The 27141-nt window shown below is 40.0% G+C and overlaps 2 pseudogenes, 2 gene segments (V, D, J or C) and 1 further gene; all 5 read right to left on the bottom strand.

Annotated features, from left to right (window-relative positions):
* The window catches only part of IGH (immunoglobulin heavy locus), a 1293408-nt gene that overhangs the window by 917075 nt on the left and 349192 nt on the right, over positions 1–27141 (bottom strand).
* IGHV1-45 (immunoglobulin heavy variable 1-45) lies at positions 3485–3922 on the bottom strand. The segment is given in 2 exon segments: positions 3485–3791; positions 3877–3922. Coding segments are annotated over 2 exon segments (353 nt in total), but the record flags the coding sequence as incomplete, so codon positions are not given.
* Positions 7604–8041, bottom strand: IGHV1-46 (immunoglobulin heavy variable 1-46). The segment is given in 2 exon segments: positions 7604–7910; positions 7996–8041. Coding segments are annotated over 2 exon segments (353 nt in total), but the record flags the coding sequence as incomplete, so codon positions are not given.
* Positions 12325–12613, bottom strand: IGHVII-46-1 (immunoglobulin heavy variable (II)-46-1 (pseudogene); annotated as a pseudogene). Its single transcript is given in 2 exon segments — positions 12325–12482; positions 12568–12613. Coding segments are annotated over 2 exon segments (204 nt in total).
* Positions 15068–15523, bottom strand: IGHV3-47 (immunoglobulin heavy variable 3-47 (pseudogene); annotated as a pseudogene). The gene is given in 2 exon segments: positions 15068–15371; positions 15474–15523. Coding segments are annotated over 2 exon segments (354 nt in total).

A 27141-nucleotide genomic window follows, 5' to 3' on the forward strand; every position in this document is an offset into this window, starting at 1 on the left:
TGGACTGTGGCACTAGTAGCTTCTCTGTGATAAAAAACACATGTAGAGACAGCAGTCAATCCTTCTAAGGATAAATGACTACCTATCAAGTTTAGGCTTTATTTATATTATTCAAATTGTCTCCATATCGCTGGTAGGTAACTTTACAGGGTGTCATTATTTTCTTAGACAAATGTGATATCTATGACTTGTCAGCTCAGGCTCAGTGAGAGATGCTAGGTCAGTCTTGAGGGAGGAATCTGTGTTCAGTCTTCATTGCACATGTTAGGGAAAGCTCTGATATAAAGAGAGAGGACCCTGTAACTTGAGTAGAAGTAATGATTAACGTGCAGAAGATATTGTACTATGAGTTCTCCATACTCTCTGACCCAGCATAATAGATTTTCCTTGCTTTCAGCTGCTGGCTTCTTTATTTTAAATATTAATTTATTTACTTTTATTTTATTTTACATTCATTTTATTCTCTTGTTTCCTGAATATTTAATTAAGTACCTATAAATTTTAACAATCATTTGTAGAAATAACATAAAATGGGTATGATGAAGACGCCAAGTAGAGATGCCAGAAAATAAAACAAATAAATAAACAACTTGTGTAAGTTTAGAGTGGTGCATGAGGACAGAAACTCTGAGGTACTTGTGCTGAATTATAAATGAGGAAGTTCAATTATATTTAACATCCAGAATGTGGGTCATTTCAGTGAAAAAAAAAATTGTACAGTGGGCTGCATTGATCAGAAATTAGAAAGGAATAAAGTCACAAAGTTGCAAGACCAGGAGACATTCCGTGTATTCATCCTTTTCCATTTTGCTAGGAAGAGAAAATGGATGGGCTATACCTTCGTGGGAAATGAGACAAGCCGTTTTTAAGATGACTCTCGAGGGAAGTTGCCAATACAATCACTGAGGCGATGCCCTGACACAGGATGGTAGAGAGACTTGGTCCTGTGGTGGTGGCTGTCGGCGACACAGGATGCTTAACCCTAGTGGGTGCCTTTGCCACTATTTTGTCCATGAGAGACATTAAGCTACGATGTGCTACATGCTGGTGAGTTCCTTAACCTCAGATGAAGAGAGGAACATGACAACACAGAAGATGAGTGTGATGTTTAATACTGAGTGTCAGCTTGATTGCACTGAAAGATGCAAAGAATTGTTCCTGAGTGTGTCTGTGAGGGTATTGCCAAAGAAGATTAACATTTGAGTCAGTAGACTGGGTGAGGCAGACCCAACCTCAACCTCCCTGGGCACCATCTAATGAGCTGCCAGCATGGCTAGAATGAAGCAGGTAGGAGAAATTGGAAAGACTAGACTTGCTGAGTCTTCCAGCCTCCATCTTTCTCCCATGCTGGATGCTTCCTGCCCTCGAACATCAGACTCCAAGTTCTTCAGCTTTTTCACTCTTGGACTTAAGCCAGTGGTTTGCCAGGGGCTCTCTGGCCTTTGGCGACAGACCGAAGGCTGCACCGTCGTCTTCCTGACTTTCGAGGTTTTGGGACTTGGACTGGCTTCCTTGCTCCTCAGCTTGCAGACGGCCTATCACGAGACTTCATCTTGTGATCGTGTGAGTCAGTCCTCCTTAAAAACTCCCCGTCAAATACAGACCTCTATCCTGTTAGTTCTCCCTCTAGATAATCCTGACTAATACAATGAGAAAAGTGAAGACCTCACTACATCAACCACATTTCACTGATGAGAACTCGTCCCATGGAGAGCAGCAGGTGTGCAGGAAATAAAGGGGTTGGGGGATACTGTCCATAAAAGAAGAGACGCAACCTAACTGAACTCCCCAGGAAAGGAGGGTGTAGATATTTGTTCACAGCTAATGATGGCTTATGTCAGGACCTCCACAAGGCTTCAGAAATAGTTTGTATTAACAAATCTAATAATTTATATAGTTTTTTTTTCCCATATCTTATTTTTCCTCCCTGGGCAGCACCACAGAATGATGTTTTCAGAATCTCCCTCATCTTCTGTGAGTTCTTGGTAGAGTTCCTGGAAGAAAAGCCTGCATGGGGAAGTGAGCCCTCCTCATGTGCAGCCCCTGAGGCTGTCATGTCACCTCACGTTTCTGAGTTATGTCATCAACATTTCTGAGTTAAACTTCCTGAAACATATGGCATTTGGCAGTGTCTTCCCTATTCAAAAAATGCTTAAATTCTGTTTATCCCTGCAGACACCTGTCTCTGGAATACAGTTTGGTTTTGAGTGTGTAGTAATTGATACTTTACAGAAGGTTTGTGTGCATCTTGTCATCTTCCAGAGTGCACCTGCCATGCAGTTGACTCCAACAAGCGAGCAGGTTGACTCACTCAGCTGGAAGAGGACAGGCATTTCTATAGCCAGCAACCCCAGTGGGGCTGTCACCCTCCAAGACTAATTGGGCTCATGCCTCTGGCTAATGTGCAGCCAGCAATGGAGGGGGACCAGCGCCCACACAGGAGAGGGTTTCTTCTATTCCCTCCCACTTTGGAAGGAAGTTGGTTGGTTGTGCCTGGAACTCATGCCTGAGTTTTCATTTTCTGTACAAAGGGCCTCATCCAGAAACACCCTCAAAAGCTTACAGTGAATCTAAAGGAATTATAGAAAATCATACATGATGTGCCTCATGACCAAGGTCTCCACTTCTCATTAAAGGACATTCCTTATGGGATTCACTAGAACTTGCTTTCTTTCCATAGATATGGATCTGCCTCTAAACATTTAGGAAGCTTACCGTCTGGGAAGGGATACTAAGTCAGGAGTCACAGAATCTATAGGAACATATACATTTTATGAGTCTTCTAAAAAAGACTCCTAATAGGAATAGCCCCACCCACTTTTCCTCTAACTGGCTTCATTCCCAGGAACCCACTCGAAGAACCTGTTGTGCTTCAAGATAGTTTAGACTTGGTATGCCAAGGGACCGCCGGAAGAGGAAAGAACCAATCCATCCATGTAAGTTCATCCATTGTAACTTATTGATGACTCTGGGGCAGGATGGTGACAGTGGGGAAGGCTGTGCATGTGTGAAGCAGGGGCACATAGGAAATCTCTGCACCTTCTGTTCAATTTTGCTGTGGTCTTAAAACTACTTTTTAATACATTTTATGTAAGAGAGGTGGCAGAGACAAATTGGAATATATTTTGGCCAGTTTTTAGGAATCATATTCAGCATTAGCCATGTTATCAAGCAATCTTGCTCCAAATTATTTATCTATCTGATTTTAGAACTTACATCTGCACAAAGCCTACGTGGGGAACTTTGCATCAGCTTGACTGATTTCTGCTTTTACCTCTCTGCGAATTTTGCATATAGGGTGACAATTATTAGAAATATTTCCTGTATAGAGTGCATACATATTTCTATTACTCATATTCCTCAATTGCTTAGCCTATTTTCTGAACAACTTTAAACATCGTAAGCCCTGTAACCTCCTCATTCAGTGAAGCTGCCTCCTCCTTGGGGTTTCTGACGGTCTCAGGATGTGGGTTTTCACACTGTGTATCTTGCACAGTAATACATGGCTGTGTCCTCAGATCTCAGGCTGCTCAGCTCCATGTAGGCTGTGCTCATAGACCTGTCCCTGGTAATGGTGACTCTGTCCTGGAATTTCTGTGCGTAGTTGGTGTTACCATTGAAAGGTGTGATCCATCCCATCCACTCAAGCGCTTGTCCGGGGGCCTGTCGCACCCAGTGCAGGTAGCGGTAGGTGAAGGTGTATCCGGAAGCCTTGCAGGAAACCTTCACTGAGGACCCAGTCTTCTTCACCTCAGCCCCAGACTGCACCAGCTGCATCTGGGAGTAGGCATCTGTGGAGGGGACACAGGAGTGGATAAAAGCCACCTTGACTGGACTCAATCCCCTCCTCATCACTGGGACTTGGGAGCCCCTTACCTGTGACTGCTGCCACCAAGAAGAGGATTCTCCAGGTCCAGTCCATGGTGAGGAGCTGTGCTTTCAGGGGATTCTCTAGAGGAGGGATGTGGTTGTTGGGTGATGCTCTCAGGGCACAGACATATCCATATTTACCTCAGTCGATCTCAGGTTATTTGCATATTGATGAGACAGGGCATTTCATAGCTCAAAGCCTGGTCGATGATAAGAAAGGGAAGACAAACGACACATCAGCCTTGCAAGAGTGAGATGCTGATGACTCAAGCCCTGATCCTGCTTGAGGAAATGAATGCCCTGCTCCATTTATGAACATTTGTGGGCAGAGGTCCTTTCACTGAAGAATAAGCCCTCTCAGAACAGACTTCTCACTGTGAACATAGATTTTATAAGCATAGAGACCACCTCTATGATTTCTGGAACAATCACTCTCCACGACACAGAGCAGGTGCCTTGGCCCTATCCTGGACCCTTCAGGAACCAGCACAGCTCACTGGTGACTCTGAGAAAGTGATTGCTGATGTCCCACGTGAGTATCCAGTAGGTCCCTCTGAGAGCCGCTGGGCACTCTTTAGACAGTGTCTGCATCACCTGCCTGGTGTCTTGATCCCCCAGGCTCTTCAATAGAAACACTCTTGGACTCTTGGTCTACAGGTTATGAACTCATTATCCCAAAATAACTTCCAAGGAATTTGTGTTATGGATAATTGTGGGTTTTATTTCCAACTCCATTCAGTGAGCACTGAAACCATGAGGAGCTTGTGTTGACTTTTATATGAAGAAGCTCAGTTATATTTGACATCTGGAAGGCTGGTCCCACCAGTGAGAAAAGTCTGTACAGTGGTCTGCACAGGTCAGAAATTAGAAAGTGATATAGTCACAAACTTGCAAAACCAGCAGACATTCAGTGTATTCAGCATTCAGCTCTTTCTATTTCTTCAGGAAAATAGAGGGGTTATATCTGTATGGAAAATGGGACAAGTAGTTTTCAGCTGATTCTCCTGGGAAGTTGTTATTGAAATCACTCAAGTGCTGCTCTCACACAGGATTGTGAAGAGGACGTTGACCCCTGGTGGTCGTTGTCAGCAACACGGGATGCTCAACCATGGTGGGTGCCTTTGTTACTGTTTTGTCCACAAGAGATTTTAGCCTGTCATGTGCTGCATGCAGGTGAGTTTTTAAACTTCAGATGAGGAAAATAACATGACCACATAGAAGATGAGAAAATTGAAGACCTCACTTCATCAACCACATTCCGCTGATGAGAACTTTTTACACAGAGAGCCAGTGATGAGCTGGGAAGAGGAAGGGGCTGAGGAAGATCATCCATAGAAGGACACATCCAGCCTGCTTGAACTCCCTGTGGAAGGAGGGTTTAAATGTTTGTCTTCAGCTAATCAGGGGTATTTCAAGACCTTCACAAGCTTTCAGAGAGAGAGTTTTCATGAACAAAAACCCATGCATTACTCAGAGTTGTATTTTTCATCATTTATTCTTCTTCTCTAGGCAGCTCCACAGCAGGGTGTTCTCAGAATTCTCCCTGATCTTCCTTGAGTTCCTGGTGCAGCTCCTGGAGGAAAAGCCTGCATGGGAGAGGGAGCCCTCCTCATGTGCAGCCCTGAGGCTGTCCCATCACCTCACCCGCCACTGCCCTTCAGTCACTTGATAAACATTTCTGAGCTAATCTTCCTGAAACGTTTGGTTTTGCACAGTATGTTCACCAGGTTACAAAATACTTAAGCTCTGTCTATTTCCACAGACACGTATTCCTTTCTGGAGCAAAGGTTGGTCTTGAGTGTGTGGTAGTGGATAATTAGTGAGAGGAGGTTTGTGTGCATCTTGTCATCTCCCAGAGTGTATCCACCATGGAGTTGACACCCACAAGCAAGCAGATGGACTTGCTCACTGGAGGATGACAAACATTTTCATAACCTATGACCTCAGTGGTGCTCTTTCCCTGCAAGACCAATTATGGTCACGCCTCTGGCTAATGTGCAGTCAGCAAGGACGACCACTGCCCACCTCTGAGGGCTCCCTCCAGATGCCCACCCACTTTGTAAAGGGAAGCTTTTGTTCCTGCCTGGATCCCATGCATGTGTTTGCATTTGCTGCACAAACTGCCTTATTCAGAACCACCACCCAAGAGCTCACAGTGTGTCTAATCCAACTCTAGGGCATTATACAAGGAGTCTCTTATTGTCACGTTTGCCAAGTCTCATTAAAGGATTTTCATTATGGGATTGACCAGAACTTGCTGGCCTTTTAGAGATGTGAATCTGCCTGAAATGTTGCAGAATCTGGAGGACCAGAGAGAGATCTTGGGGTGTATACAGGAGGATATTTTTATTACTGAGTACACCCAGACCCAGCAGACTCAATGACCAAAGACTGGGCACAGAACAAAGAGAGCGCTTGACTTTTATACACACTTCCCAAAATGGGGTGGGCTAGCTTGAAGCAAGCTTAGAGTGCACAAAAGCAGGGATACGGAGGCAGGACAGAGACAGTTAATCAAATTGTAACAGGTTCATAACTCAGGATTACACATGACCATTGCTATGCAACCCAGATGTCTGTTATCTAGGTTTTGTTCTAAAGAGCCTTGCACTGGTTGATCTCATAACACTCACTCCGGTACCTAGACAGCTGTAGTTCTGGCCTGCTCAGGCTTCTCATGACCTTCGTTGTGCTTCTTAGATAAAACAGAATACTTGAAGTTACTAGTTACAGAGAACAAGAATCTATAAACTCATATCATAAGACAAAGGAAAATTTGTTTTTCTTCTCCCTATGTTGAGGGAGTGCTGAAAGAGTCTCCAGAGCACATTAGATAATATTATTAAGACTTTTCCTGGGTCTGGGCTGTGCTTGTTGCTGCCGCTGGGATAAGTCAGCCTAATACAGGAAAGCTTATTTCTCTTTTTTAAAAATTTTTTTTTCCAGCCTCACTAAAAGCTTAAAAATCTTACTCTCTGGGAAGGGACATTGTAAACCAGAAGTAAGAAAAACTCCAAATTAACATATATTTTGTGGATTTTGGAAGAAAGTGCTCAAATAGTAATAGCCTCACTCACTTTCCCTCTGACTAATATCACTTCTAGAAAGCCATTGAAAATACCTGGGTGTTCCAAGATAATTTAGGCTTGTTATATTAGGGGATCACCAGAAAAAGAAAGAACCAAGAGTTCTTGTAGATTCATCCATTGTGACTTATTTGTGACTGTGGGGCAGGATGGCTGTAGTGGAGGAGGCGGTGTCCGTGCGGGGCAGGGATTCATGGGAATTCTCACACCTTCTGTGCAATTTCACTGTAATCCTAAAACCTCTAAAATGAACTTTATGGTAAGAAGTGACAGAAACATTTGAAAGACAATTTTCCCACTTTGTAAGAATCATGCTTACTCTTAACATATGACCAAATAACCTTGCTCCAAATGATTTATTCATCTAATTCAAAAACTTGTTCATAGTAGCACCTTTATGGTATGTTTGTATCAACTTTACTGAGTGTGGCCTTTCCCACTCTGTCAGTTTGGCTTATGTGGTGGCTCTTGAATGGAATATTTCTCTTACAATTCGATTGTGTTTCTATTGTTCTTTGTTCTCAAATATATAACCCGTTTTCTAAACAGTCTTAAACTGAATAACCCCTGTCATTTTCTCAGCTCAGCACAGCTGACTCCTCCCTCAGGGTTTCTGACACTCTGAGGATGTGGTTTCTCACACTGTGTCTCTCGCACAGTAATACACGGCCGTGTCCTCAGATCTCAGGCTGCTCAGCTCCATGTAGACTGTGCTCGTGGACGTGTCCCTGGTCATGGTGACTCTGCCCTGGAACTTCTGTGCGTAGCTTGTGCTACCACCACTAGGGTTGATTATTCCCATCCACTCAAGCCCTTGTCCAGGGGCCTGTCGCACCCAGTGCATATAGTAGCTGGTGAAGGTGTATCCAGATGCCTTGCAGGAAACCTTCACTGAGGCCCCAGGCTTCTTCACCTCAGCCCCAGACTGCACCAGCTGCACCTGGGAGTGAGCACCTGCGGAGAGGACACAGTAGAGAATGACAGTCCTCTAAACTGGAAAAAATCCCTTCCTCAGCCCTGGAACCAGTTGGCCCTTTACCTGGAGCTACAGCCAGCAAGCAGAAGACCCTCCAGGTCCAGTCCATGGTGAAGAACTTTCCTCTCAGAGGCTTCTGTAGAGAAGGGATGTGGTTGTTGGATGATGCTTTCAGGGCCCAGATGTATCCATATTTACCTCAGTAGATCTAAGGTTATTTGCATATTCATGAGACAGATTATTTCATACCTCAAAGCCTGATCGAGGTTGAGAAAGAAGATAGATGTCCCATCTGCCACACAGGAGTGGGATGCTGATGGTCCAAGCCCTAATCCTGCTTGAAGAAATGCATGTCCTGCTCCATTTCTGTTTGCGGACAGGATCCTTTCACTGAAGAACAAGTCCCCACAGATTATGCTCCTCACTCTGAACCCATATTTCATTAGCGTCAAGACCATCTAGATCATTTCTGGACCATCACTGTCCACGACACTGAGCACGTGCCTTGGCCCCATCATGGTCCCCTCAGGCACCAACACAGCTCACTGTTGACTCTGAGAAACTGACTGTAGATGTTCCACGTGACTCTCCAGCAGGTTCCTCTGAGATTCGTTGGGCGCACCTGAGACAGTGTCTCCATCACCTGCCCGGTGTCTTGATTCCCCAGGATCTTCAGCAGAAATGCTCTGGGTTTACAGAATTGCCCTGAGATGCATAATTGGAAATGGTTTTCTTATATCACAGAAACGAGGAGTCAGAAGTTGAAACAAGAGTTTGGAGTTCTTTATGAAATCATGTTCCCAAAATAACTTCCAAGAAATTTGTGTTTTGGATAATTATGGGTTTTATATTCAACTCCGTTTATTAGTATTTTGTGAAGTATTTACATACTTTCAGTTCGTATCCATAGATACTCATCTTTCCATATTGCTTTCTGAATCATTATGTCCGTGCACCCACCACACTCTCAGATCCACCACTGCCCCGTCACTCACACAATGTAGGCAACATTACTTAACACTGAAATCTGAATTTTTTGTTCATAGGAATATAGTGACTCCCACAATTCTGTATCCATTGAAATAGTAAAATCATACCTATTCTTCACATTTTCACTATTAAGATACTTATAATCCTAGAAGCCCGATTTAAAAAATAGTTCTCATTGCCTGAAGTTATATGAATTGTTCCATTGTAGCAGGATATTTGAAGGCATATCAGCAACTTGTTGAACGGTTATTTTAGATTTTTTTTTTTCTGACGAAGGAAAACCGAGGCCCTGAGAGGAAACCTCCTCCCCAGCCTCCTGTTCTAGGGCTGGACCGTGTGCTGCGTGGCTCCTGAGTGCCCCTCCTGCCCAGCCCTTACCTTTCAAGGAGGTTTCTGTCAGGGCTCACAAAACATTTTCTCCAGAGTCTTTAGTCCGGCATAAAGTGCCTGTGTCCTGGCTTAGAATACTCTTCCAGCGACAATATATGCTGCCAACACCATCTCTTGAAACAATTGATTAGCCTAACTAATCCTATTGAATTCTGCAGAAAGACCCAAAGAAAAGATTCTAGGACACAGGAGGGAGCCAGTGCTCTGAAGCTCCAGGTGCACTAAATCAGTGGAGACACAGTGAATACAAGAGCTTGCAGGGGTTTGGGGAGGGTCGTGTTTCTTCATTAGGCTCTTGTAGTTGAATGTTGCATTCGAGAATACCTGCGGGTGTAGATCTATTCAGATTAAAGCCATCTCTGTATCTCCTAGTCCAATAACACACATTTTCCCTTCTTCCTAGTGTCTTGCCTATAAAGAAAGTACCTCCTACACTGACACTAGGTCTAGGTTTATGCCATTTTTTTTGTCCTAGAGATCTAAGAAAAACAGGATACAAGTGGAGACTTGGGAAGTGCATGCAGTTTTTTTTTTTTTCTTTTTCCTTAGCTAGGAACCCTGCAAATGGCCCATGGTAACAGAATCTGTGGTCAATGCGGGAGTTGCCAAGACCTTGTCCTTACAGAGTTGATGTCAGAGGCTTCATATTGCTCTTCTGTCCTTGTCTTACTCTCTGCCATTCTCTTTCAGTTTCCCTACGTTCTCCTTCTCTGACAGAGCCTGTGCATTGTCACACTTTCATCTTTAATTTGTGCATCCCGGAAGTATCATATGTAGTTACAATTGAATCTTAATAATTTAGTGCTCTTCTTTCTATGGAATGTGACCTATATACAGAGTCTCCAGAAGTCAAATTGATGCTTTCCCTTTTCTGGCTGGAACATTATAGGATTCTTACCCTATTGGCTAATTTGACCCATTTTCCTTATAAAGGAAGGCTGCTGTGAGGGGTCTGTAATGGAGATGGACTGCCTTCCCCTACATAGATAAGGTGCTAGAAATGTTCTTCCCCTGGATCTTCTATCTGGAGAATTTTCTGCTTGTATTTCTCAGAGTTTACGTCTCTTGATGACTTAGCCATGAGATAATCTATTACAATTCTCATACAAAAAAACCTGGAGGTTGCTGGAGAAAAGAAAGCACAAGAGTGTGGGGTGTGGGGTCTCCAGGATTTTGCACCCTCATACGGTCAGACATGCCCTCTTTGTTTATGTAGTTCAGATTTACATATAATAAACCCCACAGCCAGGCTCATCTGAATTGCCACATGCTCATTTAAACTCACTGGAGAAGCAGCTGAATGTAATCATCACAATGAACTCAGAGAAACCTGGAGGGTGTTTGGAATGATGTAGACCTTTAAACGTAGATGATAATTGTTCCCAGTCTTGTTGAAATGGCTGGCAGCCCCCAATCCTGTTTCTCTCCTCCACTTACCTGAATGTCTCCAAGAACCTCATGAACCTAAGGACTCTCTTTTTCATGGATGACTCTGAGGATTCTCAATCTGGTCAGTGCCACAATCAGAGGCAGCTAATGGACGATTCTCTGTCCACTGTTATGTTGAGCCCATAACATAGGACACATATACAAGAGTGGCCAATTCATGTCAGTGCCAATCAACATTTAATTCAAGGGGCATGATTTTCAGTGCATTGAAGTACAAAAGCTTCATAATTCTTAATAGAGGCACAAAGCGAATGGTTTGCTGAAGAAATGAGCTCATGGTTGGAAGAAAGCTGACTGCCCCCAAGAAGAGTCTCTTTAACTAAAGCACCTGAAACGTGATGTCCTGAGACCTTGTGAAAATTCATTTCCTTGAGTAAAAAAACAGGAAAGCTATTCTCAAATCATTGGAAGAAACCTTATCAGAAATTTAATCAACACAGCAGTCATATTCCAGTAAGTCAATCCTTGGGTTTATGTTTCACAACTCAAGAAGCTATAAAGAAATCTATATAATTGGAAGGCTGCTCCAACAGAGGGAATTTTGACCTATTTAATTAATAGAACAGTATTCATTCAAAGACACTCTCCTATGGAATCTGCAACTTAAACAGATCTCTGCAACCTGGAAAAATTTTCTCACTTATTTTTCTCTAGACATCCATAAACGCAAAAAGGCATCTCGTATATTTGTGCATCAGTTATCTATGGAAGTACTTTGCATGTTAATGAAAGTTTATCGAAACATGGTAGCTTAATCACCTAATGTGAACTCGCACTTCACTGGTTTCCAAAATTCTCCACCTGTGTGATGGGGCAATGGGTGCCTCTGAGAATATGCTGATTTTTGGACTGAACATATTCTCCACTCCTCACTTGACTCCATGGTTCCTGGCTCATACAAATGTGTCTATGACTGAAAACCCAATGCTGATATTTAGCAAATTTTCCTCTTATGAGATTCATATTCTCTCTTTCTCTGTATGTCTCTATCTCTCTATTTTTCTGTGCCATTACTAGTTATTACTGAATCCTGAATCCTGCCAACAGACTCCATCTCACGTTCTGCCAATCTTCTTCCTCAAAGACAATTAGGGGCAAACTCATCCTTGCCCAAGATGGGAAAACTTTCTGGACTTATTTATTAGAGCCTCATATGAGAACCCTGATCAAACATTATTTGCTTTTGGATTATACCTCAAATCTAAAACTGTTCTTCGTAGCGGCTATGACATTCTGTATTCCCATCATTACCATTAGGCAAAACAGTGTGGTGGCTCCTAAATGAATTAAAACAGAAATACCATATGACCAGTGATGCAGCTTATGGAAATATACCCAAAGAGATGAAATTACCGCCTTGTGAAGATACCTGCGCTCCTGTGATTATTGCAGCTGTATTCACAACAGCCAAGATATGGAAACTAAGTGTCTGTCAATGGGCAAATGGATAAAGACAATGTGGTATGTGTACACAACATAGCATTATTATGCCTTATAAAATAAGGAAATGCTGCCATTTTCCACAAGACAAATGGACTCCCACCACCACTAGCAATGGATTTTATCCATTGCAGCCCCTCCCTGAGAGCCGGCAGATCCAGGTCCACTAGTAAGGACTGGTTGTGACGGAGTGGCCAGTAACAGTGTAGGTGAGGCAGAGGGTAAGTGTGTGCTATTCAGGTCCAGGGCTGACTCCTGCAGCTGCTCCTGGGACAGGGCATGTGATTACATGGAGAATCAGTCCCTGTCAGTCACATGTACCTATCCTAACCCGATAGACCCATGTCTGACATCTGAGACGCTCACCTTCAGGACCTGCTACCAGGCACAGGAGAAGACACGATAATGACATCTTCCTTATGAACACAACTCTGCATTCCCCAGATACCTTACCCCTGCCTGAGGGGAGAGCTGTTACCTTCCACAGTCCAAAAGCATTTTATACCCTGGAGCCTGAATAATATTTTGGATGTGGCAAAGCCTTGTGCTTATAAGACAGAGGGACACAGGTCAGACTCCCCATGGATTTGATATGTTTTATTGTTGTCTGTTTATTTACAGGTTGACATGATAATGTCCTTGCCAAAAACTACAGTCATGACAGTTCATAAAATTTGCTTTATTCCTGTTTTCTTTTTTTTTTTTTTTGAGATGGAGTCTCCCTCTGTTGCCCAGGCTGAAGTTCAGTGGTGTGATCTCGGCTCACTGCAAGCTCTGCCTCCCGGGCTCACGCTATTCTCCCGCCTCAGCCTCCTGAGTAGCTGGGACTACAGGTGCCCGCCACCATGCCTGGCTAATTTTTTGTATTTTTTAGTAGCGATGGGGTTTCACCGTGTTAGCCAGGATGGTTAACCTTGTGATCCTTACCTTGTGATCTGCCCACCTTTATTCCTGTTTTTCCACCTGTGACATTTGAACTTCTGTATCAAGTGAGCAATGTGCATACCTTACAGGAGCAATTACAAAATAACTCTCTAAGTCATCACTATTACACAAATGCTACCCTGTCCTTACTGACAAATGTCTCTGGAAAGATTTAAGTAAACATACATCATAAATTGCTTCCTTAAATTAAAAGTAGCATAAGGTTCAGAAACTCATGAACTCCCTTTGCCAAAGGTACCTCCACTAGAACTTACAACCCATGGTCTCCTTCCTCAAGGACACAGACATTCTCATCCTATGACTTGATTCATCAAAAGCCCATGTATTTCCCATTTTACCTTCAATATTATACTCCGATTCATCACATGCTGATACAGCAAAGTATTTTAGGGGATTGAAGTGCCATGTGGAAACATTCAACAGAATGTTAAAGATGCCTTCCCATTACATCTTCCTAAATAGCTTCTTTACTGCTGTCCACTTGGAAATTCTTTATTTTAGAAGAGACATCAGAGAAAAACAGCCTCAAATATTGTGAAAGGGGCTAATGACCATTAAGAACAAATGCAGCAGTGACTCCAGGATGTGAATCCATAGGTTTACGCAGTGAAAATGAGGTGGGTTACATAAGTCATTTTGAGAGGATTATCCTGTGCTCCTAGAATCAGGACTAAGGGTGGCATCACTGTAGGGTTAAACAGGGAGTTGCTGGGAAGATATCCTTGTAGAAGTGATTTTTGTAGGACTAAGGGTGGCATCACTGTAGGGTTAAACAGGGAGTTGCTGGGAAGATATCCTTGTAGAAGTGATTTTTGTAAGGTTGTGGTTTCTTCTATCCAAGGCTGTGGTTAAGCAGAATCCATTTACGGTAGTTCTTGTTTTCTGGAGTATATGCATGAGAAACTTCTTCATGGTCATTCCTAGTTCCATTTGTCAGGGTGTTAACACAAGTGTTTCCATTTTTATTCTGACAACTTTCACACCCTCTTTCTAATACTACTGGTGAGGAAGTTGAATCTGTGGTTGTTTGTACAGCACAGGATAAATTTCACATCCACATCCCATTTTGTCCACGCAAGCTCATCCCCTTCACTCCTGTTGTCCACATTCGTTCCCAGGTAGTCTCCACACAACACACTGGAGGGTGCTGAGCAATGGGAGAAGAGAAAGCCCCAACAGCCACTCCCATGTGGCTGCAGGAGCCACAGCCTGAGCCCCGCCTGAGCTGCAGGGAATGGGCTTGAGGCTTGGGGCTTTTGCAGCAAGAAACACCTCCCCATTTTACAGGGAGCAAGAGAAGTACGAGGAAAAGCAAGAACAACAACAAATAAAAAGAAATAGAATGGTTTAAGAGCAAAAGGGGACCCAGATCAGTGCTGATACTGATTTGCATACTTTAGTGTCAGGAGAAGGAGAAGGGTCAGACGTGAAACCTGTGAGGTTCTACATGACACTGACCCTGTCCCAGCCTCTCTATTGGCTGGTATCAAAATTCCTGAAGACTGATCTAGTCAGGGAATCTCACAGAGGTTTCTGTCCTGAGTCTGACTGGAGAAGATTCACCAGGCACCCCTGAGTTTCCTCAAGGCTGATCCTGGTGACCATGGTTGAGGACTTTTCATCTCTGTAAGCATCCATCTGCATTTTGTGCATGTAAGAATAGGTTCTCATATTAAAATAATCATTAAAAAACATGTAGAGATGACACTGGTAAGCACAGAATTCTGAACTTAGAGAGGTTCCCTAGAGAAATGGTAAAAAGACGAAGTCCCACACCCTGACAGGAAATCAGCCTCTGTGTGCACCTGCCTCTTGGGCTGACTCTGATCAGTGGCTCCTGAGCGCCCCCTGCAGCTGGTTTCCTCCAGCGTTCCTGCAGGGAAGTTTGTATCTGGGCTCACATTGACTTCCCCTCACTGTGTCTCTTGCACAATAATACACAGCCATGTCCTCAGCTATCAGGCTGTTCATATGAAGATACAAGGACTTCTTGGCGTTGTCTCTGGAGATGGTGAATCGGCCCATCACGGAGTCTGCATAGTATGTATCACCACCAGTACCAATAGCTGATACCCACTCCAGACCCTTCCCTGGAGCCCGGCGAACCCAGTGCAGAGCATAGCTACTGAAGGCGAATCCAGAGGCTGCACAGGAGGGTCGCAGGGACCCCCCAGGCTGTACCAAGCCTCCCCCAGACTCCACCAGCTGATCCTCACACTGGACACCTGCAAACACAGAGACACCAAGGTCAGAAATTGCCAAACATATCCACTGTTTCTCTCACTCATGTAACTCACACTCAATCTCTCTAGTTCTCCATGAATCACATTTTAATATAGCAACAAGGAAAACCCAGCTTAGCACAAACTCCCTGGTGAGTCCTGTGTGTTCAGTCCTGATCACTGAATGCAAACACTTGGGAATCCCAAGGCTGGGGCTCCTCTCCCAGAGCAGCAGGGTCAGGGGTGGGCTGGTTTTCATCCAAAAATTACGGAGACAACTAGGGGTCAGGCAGATAAGTTTTTGGTGTATCTGACATTTAATGTATTTATTTGTTTCTTCCTATCATCCCTTTTTTGTATAAAATGTCGGCTGTTTACTTGTAATAAATTTTATGAGTTTTAACTGACAGATGATAAAATTCACATATTTAACATGTGCAATAGTAAACTTTGAAAAAATAATCTCTATTTTCAATGAGGTAACAAGTCAACTCCCCTCAGCATTCCTCTTGATCTTTTATATTATTTGTTTTTTCCCCTTCCCTTTTTCTACCATTTCTTTATAAACTACTGATGTTTTCATATTTCTTTAGACTAGTATTTATTTGGTAGAATTTATAAGAATGAAATAATATAGTATATTCGCTTATGTATTTGGCTTATTTTTCTCAATAGAAATACTGAGAATTAAACCATTTATGTTATATGTGTTTATTTTTTTATAAAAATTGGTAGCATTTCGGCAAACAAATGTAGCGTAATTTGTTTTTCTATTAAGTTGCTAATTGATATTTGAATTTTTTATTACATTGGGTCTTACTAACAAATCTGCTACTCAGTTTGGTAATGTACAAAGATGATCAATTATACATAAATTATATAAATATATTTATTTTTGCAACAACAATAACAGATAAACAAGATAATGTGTTATTTGGCAGATTTCCTTTAGTATTTCAGATAATTGAAGTTATGAGATAGAAAACATACTTATAAACCAAAGAGTATCTGAGACTAATCTCAATAGATTTAGGAAGTTCATTTTTCCAGGACTAAGGACATGCCTGTGACACAGCCTCAGGGAGTCCTGATGATACGTGCCCAGTGTGGTGGGACACAGCTTGGTTTTACACAATTTAGGGAGACATGAGACATTAATTAATATATGTAAGGTATATTTATTTAGTTCAAAAAGGCAGGACAAATTGAAGTTGGGGGGAGAGCTACCAGATCATAGGTAGGTATGAGAGAAATGGTTGCATTATTTGAGTTTCTGATTAGCCTTTAACTGAATGCACAGTTTACAGGAATAGTCACATAGGCCTTAGTCTGGCTTAGTGAAACAATAGAGCAAAGGGAGCAATCAGATATGCATTTGACTTACGTGAGCAGAGAAATGACTCTCTGCTTGGTCTACAATGTCCTTGGTCAACAAGGATTTTCTGTGCGGTCAAATTTTGAAGGAGATATGTAGCTTGTAAACACCTTAACAGCTATCATTTTAGGGAAAGAATGGAAGGTGGGTTTGCCCCAAACAGTTTTCAGCTTGGCTTTTCCCTTTGGCTTAGTGATATGAGGGTCCCAAAGATTTATTTTCCTTTCAGGAAAATGGAAATTTTGGGAGAAATGAGTTCTTGTAGAGAGAAACAAAGCCATAGTGTTAGCTAAACTGAGGCAGAAGTTGCCATGTGAAATACAGCCTATTACATGTATTGGATTGCTTAAATTCTAGGGTGGTAAACATGTTGCCGTGTGAAATTCTCAGGAACCATATGCTGAAGGGCACTGATAAAGTGAATTAAATATGGCCTGAGGAGGACTCCGTACTTCTATGTTTGAGTCCTTGTGGACAAACTGTAACCTACCTGAATAGGTGGACGAGATTGAAAACCTAACTCAGGAGTATGTACCTGAGCACCTCACCAACAGCTGAGCGTTGGCCAATTTCAGCAGCCATACCTCAACCACTCATACACTCTTGAGTGTGCAAACTGTGTTTAAATAAGACAAACATCAGCCTGTAACCAATCCAGCTGTTTCTGTACCTCACTTCTGATTTCTGTACATCATTTAAAAAAATGTATAAATCTTCTTCAACCACATGGCTGCACTGAATTCTCTTTCAATCCGCTGTGATTCCGGGGGCTGCCCAATTCATGAATCATCCATTGCTCAATTAAACTCCTTTAAATTTAATTTGGTTTGAGTTTTTTTTTATCAGCATTCTTATCCAATTGAATTCCTTTGTTCTAGAATGGGTGCAGTCAGAAAAATCTTATTTTCCCAAAGTGTCTGTCTGAGAGAGGAGAGCCCATACTTCTGAAATGCATTCAGACCCACCTCCCTCATCTTCACTACAGAACTAAGGAATCACCCTGCAGGGGCCAGCCACTGAACCCATTATTCCAGATGCACTGGTGGAGCCCCAGAGGAAATGGGATAAAAACCGAGGTTCTCACCAAAGTTCCATTGAAATGCACCTCCTCTCTGTCGTGGAATCAAATCCTTAATCTGCAGGGCATGGCAGCAGATCTAGAAGGTGATGGTAACAGTGGAGAATATTGGAGCTGTGGGAGGGAACAACTGGGAAAAACAGGAGAAAATATACATATTTAACTCTGTGGACTTCAATCTATTTACATGTTAATTAGGTGGAATATTTCATAGCTAAAGACCTGATCTAGAATGAGAAATAGTAGAGAGATGACACATGGAGAATGCAAGAGTGGGAAGCTGAAGTTCAAGTTCTGATATTTGTTTACTGATACTTGTCTCCTGGCATGTCCAGAACTTTATGAGTACAGAACTCCTCTAATAGAGAAACAAACTCTCACAGGACATGGTCCTCAAAACGATCTCACCTTCAAATGGCACATTAACAATCTCAAACTTTTTTGGTTTTACCCTTTGCAAGTTGAACTCCTGGTATGGTGTGTCTGTCAATATTTGCACACATTTAATTGATATAAATATATTTCTTCTACATCTTCCAACTATTAAGATATATGAAAAGTCTAAAATTTTCTCCTTTCAAATTGGGTCCTCATCACCTCATTGGGTTAGGTAAATGCTTCAAGTATGATGGGGTATGTAAAGACGCATTGTAGTTTTTGCTAAATTTTTTATGTTTTATTTTATTTTTATTTTCAAAAATAAAGATGAAGCCTCACTATTTTTCACAGACTGATCTCAAACTCCTGGGTTCAATAAATCTTCCCACCTCAGCCTCTCAAATTTCTGGGATTATAGGTGTAAGCCACTGTGCCTGGACATTAATTACTTGTTTTAACTTTTTAATTGCATTTTTGTTTTGAAATAAGTGTAATTCAGGTGCTGGAAAAATTTTCTCCTCAGACTCCTCTGCAGCAGCTCCAGGGCTGACATCTGTGTGGAGTGGGTTCTGGGCCTGTCCTGCAGCTCTGCCCTCACCCTGCAGGGGAGGATGCTGTTTGGGCTCACAGAGCATATTCTCCCAATGTCGCTCTCCAAGAAGAAAGGGGCAGTTCCCTGGTTCACAATCCTCTCTCAGCAGCATCTAATGCTTTTGAAATTGTCTCTTGAAACAGTGATTTGTCATTACTATACCCAGTAAACTGCAGGGAGAGCCCAAGCATAGATTCTATGAAACCACCAGAGAGTCTGTTCCCTGGGACTGTCAGATGCAGTGACACAGTCAAGATCCATGGTGAGTCCAGAAACTTTCAGAGAACTCATAGGAGCTTCTTATTTCTTTTAGAATTCTCTATTCAAAGTCACGCCAAATAGCATCTCCACAGAGAGAACTACATGGCTCAAAGCTCGCAAAAATTAAAACACACATGTACACACACACACACACACACACACAGACGCACAGTGTACTATGGCTGATTTTTACAATAATTGGCTCCTGATTTTGGATTTTGCCTAGTGTAACCAAAGGTTTCTGAGAGAGCTCTCAATCAAATTAAAATTAATTTTTCCAAAGTTATGGCATGCTTGGAAGAAAAGTAATCACAGAAACAATGCGTGGTTAGTGCCATTCCCAAAAGACATTTTTTAGGGCTTTCAATATATAAAGGGGAAAAGCTGGCTAGAGGGGAAAGAGGAATTGCATGAAAACTTACATGTAGTAATGAAAAAGAAGCACATAGGGAAATAGAATATCAAGTGGTTCTCCTGCACTAAGTATTTCAAAGATGAACAAATTGTAGCTATCTGTGAAGATATCTAACATTTTATCTGTCTGTGGCTATTTTCTTAGGAATGAAAGGAAAATCAGTTTCTTGCATGGATCATCCTTTAGTTTTTTCCCCCCTCATGACGTAATGAATTGACATCATAAGTTTTTATTTTCATTTCATATCTTCCCAACTTTTTCCTTTCCAAAATATTTCAGAGGAAGCATTTTACCACAAAATAAGTTTCTGGGCTTCTGTTTTTGTTTTTGTTTTTTTCTTTCATGGGTAGGACGGATTATTTCTAGATAAATAGGTCCCAAGTTGTTATTATAGTTCATTGTTACCTATATTTCAAATGTTGTGAAGTTTCACATCCATTAATAAGAAAATAGTGGGAGAAAAAAGAGAAGTAAAACATATAAATAAAGGAGGAAATAACAAACAACAAAAAGGGGAAACAATCCTGGAAAACTGATATAGGCCTTGGAACTCTGAAGGCTGAACATGAATAAGGTAAACGACAAATATCTGAGACAGGTCTCAGTCAATTTAGGAAGTTTACTAATGTGGTTTGTCTGTGTCGCCATCCAAATCTAACCTTGAATTCTAGTCCTGCAGTTCCCATGTGTCATGGGAAGGACCCAATGAGAGATAATTGAATCACAGGGGCAGGTCTTTCCCATGCTGTTCTCATGATAGTAAATACTTCTCATTAGATCTGATGGTTCTGTAAAGAGGAGTTGCCCTGAGCAAGCTCTCTCTAGTCTGCCACCGTGTAAGATGTCGCTTGCTTTTCTGACAAGATTGTGAAGTGTCCCCAGCCATGTGAAACTGTGAGTCAATTAAACCTCTTTCCTTTATCAATTACCCGGTCTTTGTTATGTTTTATTAGCAGCAGGAGAACAGACTAATACGTTTATCTTGCCAAAGATAACTCACCCATGACCATCCTCAGGAAGTCCTGAGACATGTGCCCAAGGCGATTGAAGTACAGCTTGCTTTTATACATTTTAGAGAGACATGAGACATCAATCAATATATGTAAAATGTACTTTGGATTTTTCCTGTAAGGCAGGACGAATCAAAAGCACGGACTGCAGTTTAGAAGTAGATAAGAGACAATAGGTTGCGTTCTTTTGAGTACTTTATTAGCCTACCACTGAATGCACAATTTAGTCTGACTCAGTGGATCTTCGTTTTTACATAAATGATAGTGAAGAGGAAGCAATCAGCTGTGTATTGGTCTCAGGTTAGCCTCAGAGGAATCACTTTAAACAGAAGGGGAGGCAGATTTGCCCAAAGCACTTTCCAGTATGGCAGCCTCGTTGTCTGGAATACCACCCGAACTTCTTTGTCTCACGGCCGTGAATATCAAGGTCGCAGACATGCTAAGGGTGAGGTTAGAGCACAAGTTTAATAGGTAAAATAAAAAAAAAGCTGTCTGTCACAGAGAGGGGTCCCAAATGGGTTATCGTGCTGCAGTAAAATGTAAGGATTTTTATAAATGTGCTCGTGGGGAGACGGTGTCTTATCAGCATAGGGTGCAAAAACAGTTAGGACAATGTGTGCCATCTGCATAGAGCAAAGTCTCTGGCAACCCCACCTCATGCTTTCATTGGGCAGGCGGGCACTTTGCTTGATCTCCTCCACACTGCTTATCTTCTTCCACCGTGCATGTGCTAAGAAAGGCCAGAAGGGTTTTCTTGCCTGGTCCCAGGTACTTCCTCACAGGTGCCGGCGTCGCAAACCCCGTGCAAGCTTCCAGCTTTTCTATCTTAGTGTACTCCCAGAAAAGAAAAGGAATGTGCTTATTAAGGCTCACTGTTTTTACTGGGACCCATCCTATATATGTGAGGTTTGGTGATTACACCCAGAAACACCCTCTCTGTGGCAGAGTTGCTTATCTATATTTCACAGCCTGATTATTTAGTCTGCTTTTTGTTAGAAGTGATTTCTTTGAACTGTGTGTAATTAGAGAAGAAGTTATTTCTGAGCTGATTTTTGTTAGAAGAAAAGTTATTTTGCCAGAGACTCTCTCATCCCAACTATCTACCTAAATAATTTCTTTCTATCTCCTGTAACACCACATTGACTCTTCTCTTTAGCTTAGTAATTTTGGGGTCTCAAGATTTATTTTCCCTTCACAGTAGGAGGGTATAAAAGGAATTTTTGTATATAATTAAGTTGCTGGTATTAGACAATTTTCATGCTGCTATAAGGACATACCTGATGCTGGATAATTTATTTAAAAAAAAGGTTTAATTGTCTCACAGATCTACATGGCTGGGGAGGCCACAAGAAACTTACAGTCATGATGGAAAGGGCAGCAAACACGTACCTCTTCACATGGCTGCAGGAGAGAGAAGTGTCATGTGAAGAGGGAGGCCCTTTATATAACCATCAGGTCTTGTGAGAACTCACTCACTAATAGGATAAAAGCATGGAGAAAACACGTCCCGTGATTCAATTATCTTCACCTCCTTCCACCCTTGACATGTGGAAATTATTACTATACAAACTGAGATTTTGGTGGGAACACAGAGACAAACCATATCATTGATTTTATTTTATTTTAGAGTTTAAGTTGACTAGCTGTAAGAAAGCACAGTTTACCTTCTGGAGATTTCAAATAGGAAAAAAATATTTAAAAAGAAAATCACTGAAAATGTTATTTTGGAGACTTGTGGAAAGAAATATTTTAAAATTGAGTCCAAATTGTAGAAAATATTGTAAATTGAAAAACAAGTGGACAAGGTTAGAACCTAATAACAGATGCACTATAGTTTATTTTGAAAGAATATTTCTCCCTATAATTCCCCAATTTTATTGGAGACAAAATCATAATAGGACTAATTTATTTGTAAAATAAATTTTAGGCTTATTATACTTGGCCTGATTTTTTTGTATAAGATGCAGCAAAAATAATCACTTAACATATTAGCTCTCTTTTTATTGTTTTTGTTTTTGTTGTTGTTTGTTGTACATAGGCTGTTTTATTCATACATTGCTTTTGCTATTTTTTATAAGGAATCTAAGGGTAAGATCTTTAAAAGCCTCAAGCCCAGCCAATATTTTATCTGTGCCATCAGATAGCTATATGGATTGGTTTACTTTTTATTTTTTCAAGTATCCAAGAAAACTTGGGTTTCCTGGGCCTGTCAGAAAGCAAAATTATTTACTTACTACAGCTCAGGGCCCTGTTAAAAAAAAAAAAAAAAGGTAAAATGCCAGTTTTCCAAAGGGGCTTATATCAGCTGTACAGCTCTTCATTTTATAAAGTAAATCAGAAAATATGTCATTCAAGTTAAAGCCTTGGTAAAGTGACCATTGTCTCTAATTGTGCTCTGTTATGGAAGAAAGCAGATTTTTATCGAACCTATGCAAATAACTATTTTGATATAAGAATACCTACAGTTTCCAAATTTTGGAGAAATTATGTAGAGAAGAAGAAATTATATTTTCAATTTTTCTCAATAGAGTATAGTTAAAATTGTTAAAAACTGTGAATAGCTTAAAAGACAAAGTTTTCTTGATTCTGAACAATAAAACATAAGTAAATAGCAAATGCTTTAAAGAATAAGTTATAAAAATTATTTCAGTCTCCTTTTCATTCAGTTCATGCAATTACATCCTGTCCTGCTTGATATTAGATTAACAATCATCATAAATGCTTCAGGTCTCATGAGACTCATGGAAGTTTTTCTCTCTATACCAAAGGCACAATTTATAAAATTGTCAAAATTGTATATTGTATATTTAAGAGTACTACTCAAAGTTCTATAGATTATTATAAGCCACCTGATAAAGAATCAAAGTAAAACAACAATTGTGAATGACCGACCTTTTAGAATACCCCTGGTTAAAGACAGAATTGAGGAGAAAATTTGGTTATTTCTGTGATAAACAAAAATTTTAAATTATAATCATAAGTACTACTGATACTAAGACATATAAAAATCACTTGAATCTAATAGAATTTTGGAACATATACTCTTTACATAAGTATATTCAAATTATATAGTCCACATTTATATAAATATAGTCCAAAGTTAATAACCATTGCAAATTTGACATTACTTCCTGTATAATTTAACTGTACCAAATAAGCTAAATGTGTTTCTTTTCAGGGTGTTCAAATGACTGAATTTAGAATTTTATTTTGTGAACTTTGTCAAATATCAAAAGTTTACAACACTTGATATTACAAAATAGGATTACAGATTATTGTAAAATAAGTTATTTATTTAGCCACATGAAAACTCAGTGATTTCTAAAAAAAAGAAAAAAAATATTTTTGAAAGAGTAGAATTGATTTTCTAAAATATAACCCCTTAGAAGAACAGCATGAGAAAAGTTAAAACTATCAATTCTGAAAAATAAATCTATTAAATTATAATTACTTTTACCATAAAAATAATTTGCATAGATCTTTTATACAGTTTTATCTGTTTTTTAAATTTAAATGTGGATTAATTCTTCAAGAAACCCTGGTCAATCTGGCACAGGGGCCCAGATGCTAGCCTTGCATTAATGTTTAATTTATAAAGAAACTCTGAACCGATTTCATCTCTCAAAATTAGCTTTTACAATCTTACAAAGCCACTTCTTCTGTAATAGTCCCTGGGGCTGGGGTGGTTAAGTAGTTTCAATTTCTGGGCTTGTGTCTTGAGAGTGTGATCAATTTTTCTTGTCATTTTCTTCCAGGTCTGTAGATGGGGCTTTAATTGCTGTCGGTGTTTAAGATTTAGCTGGACTTGGTGTCCTTTTTATTTTTTATTTTATTTATTTATTTTTTCTGAGATGGAGTCTCACTCTGTCACCCAGGCTGGAGTGCAGTAGTGCAATATCTGCTCACTGCAACGTCCACCTCCCCGAGTTCAAGCAATTCTCTCTGCCTCAGGCTCCCAAGTAGCTGGGATTACAGGCACCTGCCACCATGCCCAGCTAATTTTTGTATTTTTTAGTAAAGATGGGGTTTTGTCATGGTGGCCAGGCTGGTCTCTAACTTCTGACCTCAGGTGATTTGCCCACCTTAGCCTCCCAAAGTGTTGTGTGTCCTTTTTAGACCTAGGATTCAAAGCTCAGTAAAGTAGCAGCACAAGGACTTTAAAAGTTATACAGATAGTTACATGAATGTCATAACATTAATTTCTATTGTCTTAAACTCTCAGTATTACTAAGTAGTTGAAAAACTTAATAACACTTACATAGGAATTATTTCAATGAAATTTAAAATTTGTCTCATGCCAGTTACCAAATAGCAAAAATAAAGCCTTCTGCACTGTGACTGTTTTTTCCTATGGGGAACTCCATGTACATAACCTGCAAGTCAACTCTAATGAAAAAAGTATTTGAATTAATCAGACCTAGGAAGAATGTGTCTTTACAAGTGAAGATTTTGGTTTCATAGAAAAATTTAGACAGTTAAAGAAAAGCCAACGACACTGAATATTATATTGAAAGAAAACATTTTATTTAGAACTTTAAGATAGAGGATTTTAACATCAGGAAATAATAGCAGTCAGAAACTAACAACAGTTAGAAGTTAACTCAGAGGCTAACTGCTGTAAGTAAGAAACAATGTTAAAGGAGCTGATGAAAAAGTTGAGATCCTCTCAAGCCTTCTCAAATGGAAAAAAATAAAAATGGCAAGATGCAACAAAAGTTAAAATTTTGGGTTAAAAAATTATAATACCTTATAATTTTATTGAATAAATCAATACTTTAAGACAATTTTGTCATTCTAACCAATCTTCAGTGTGTTAGTATATTTTCATATGAAAGCCAGATCCCTATAAAGACTATAATAAATTCTTCCCTTTCAATTATAGTCAACTCGATAACATGAAGTTTTTTTAATAAGTTAGCTTTCTATAAACCTTATTTTGACTTACACGAACCATTTATGGCATACTTGAACATCTTGTTTTATTCTAAACATTATTCTTTCATAAATAGTCACTTTTATATATAAAAAGTTATCCTACAAAATTCCCTCTCATATAATTTTTTTTTATTTTAACCTTTCTTACCAAAAGTACTTCTCTATGTCTAGAACTTTCTTTAAACCTCTCTTATTAACTGGGTATGTTTATGACATTTTATAATTAACCTTTGAATTAAATAAATTATTTTTCTAAAAACAAATGTTTTCAAAAAATATTTTCTTATAATATGTATTTTTAAAAAGTTTTCCTTATAGTATATATATTTTAAACAATTAGTAATGCATAAACATTTATATAATATATATTATTTAATTAAACTTTAGATTTTTAAATTGTAGAACAAGTTTATTTAAATGGTTTATTTTATTTCATTTACCTAATTTATTTTTTAAATAGCTTACCTAGAATATTTATGAAAACTGTAATACTTGTCCATTAAAGTTTTTCACCTATTAACCATGTTTATAACCCATGAAATTTAGGTGTTTACCTAAGTAAAACCTTATGATTAAGTAGATGATTATTTTTCTAGTAGCTAAGTATTTACCTATTTTTTTTTATTAAAACAACAATACTGAACATCTTGTTAAATTACAAAGATCAATCTGGTTTTAACTAGGTTTTTAATTTTATAATTTTATAATCTTAAACAGCAGGTGTTTAAAAAAAGGGTTAGATGTAAACAGTGATTGTTATCTTAAAACCAGTAGAAAGGTCCTGTAAACTGGAAAACAAAATATTTTAAAGCAAAAAATGTATCTTCATCTTTCTTTATAAACTTCACCAAAAGCTTATTACATGCTCTTACTATTCTAATTCTTAGTAACTCTAATTCATAGTGAGAAAGCTAAGATTACTTAATTTAACATAGCAAGACTTTAAGATTTTAAATACTGACGATAATTATGAGACTAAATTTACAAAATTAATATTTGTAAAGCAATGTAAAATTTAAAGCTGACTATACAAACACAGATGTACTTTTTTGTTTACAAAGTGTTTCATTAAACAGACTTAACTTGATTGGTGGTCTTTGACATACAGCTTAATTAGATGACTGGTCTTGGATTGGAGGCATTTAAGAAAAAGGGCCAAGAAAACATGCAGTTTTTAGGGCATAAACTACAATTATTTATGGAAATGTGCAAAGAAATGAGTAGCCTTCTATAGTGATGATCATTTCCTGCTAACTGCCCTCAGCCACCCCTAACGTAGCTTTCAAAGCCACCCCTAACATTGGAGCTTTCATTCACTATTGCACACACGAGGAATGAATCCTCTCACAGTGCAGTGTAATTCTGGTAACATCCGAAACCAAAAACATTACATAATCCAAGAAAGCAGAGCTTTATACCTGAGAAGAATCTACCAATGTTTCTTGAAACCACAAAGGAAGGAGAAAAACTCCCAAGAGTTTAGTGGCAAGATCCAAAAGGAAAACACCCTTCCTGCCCCAACCCAGGGGCCTGATGTGGAGCTGCCTGCTAAGGGAGCGGTGGTGTCCTCAGTGGCCCCTGGTGTCCTGAGCATCCCCTGGTGTCCTGAGTGCCCCCTGGTGGTTGTGAGGGACCCCTGGTTTACTGAGCACACCCTAGTGTCCTGAGAGCCCCTTGCTGTCCTGAGCACCTCCTGGTGTTCTGAGCGCCCTCTGGTGTTCTGATCACT

The sequence above is a fragment of the Homo sapiens genome, chromosome 14, assembly GCF_000001405.40.
Source record: "Homo sapiens chromosome 14, GRCh38.p14 Primary Assembly".
Taxonomy (NCBI): domain Eukaryota; kingdom Metazoa; phylum Chordata; class Mammalia; order Primates; family Hominidae; genus Homo; species Homo sapiens.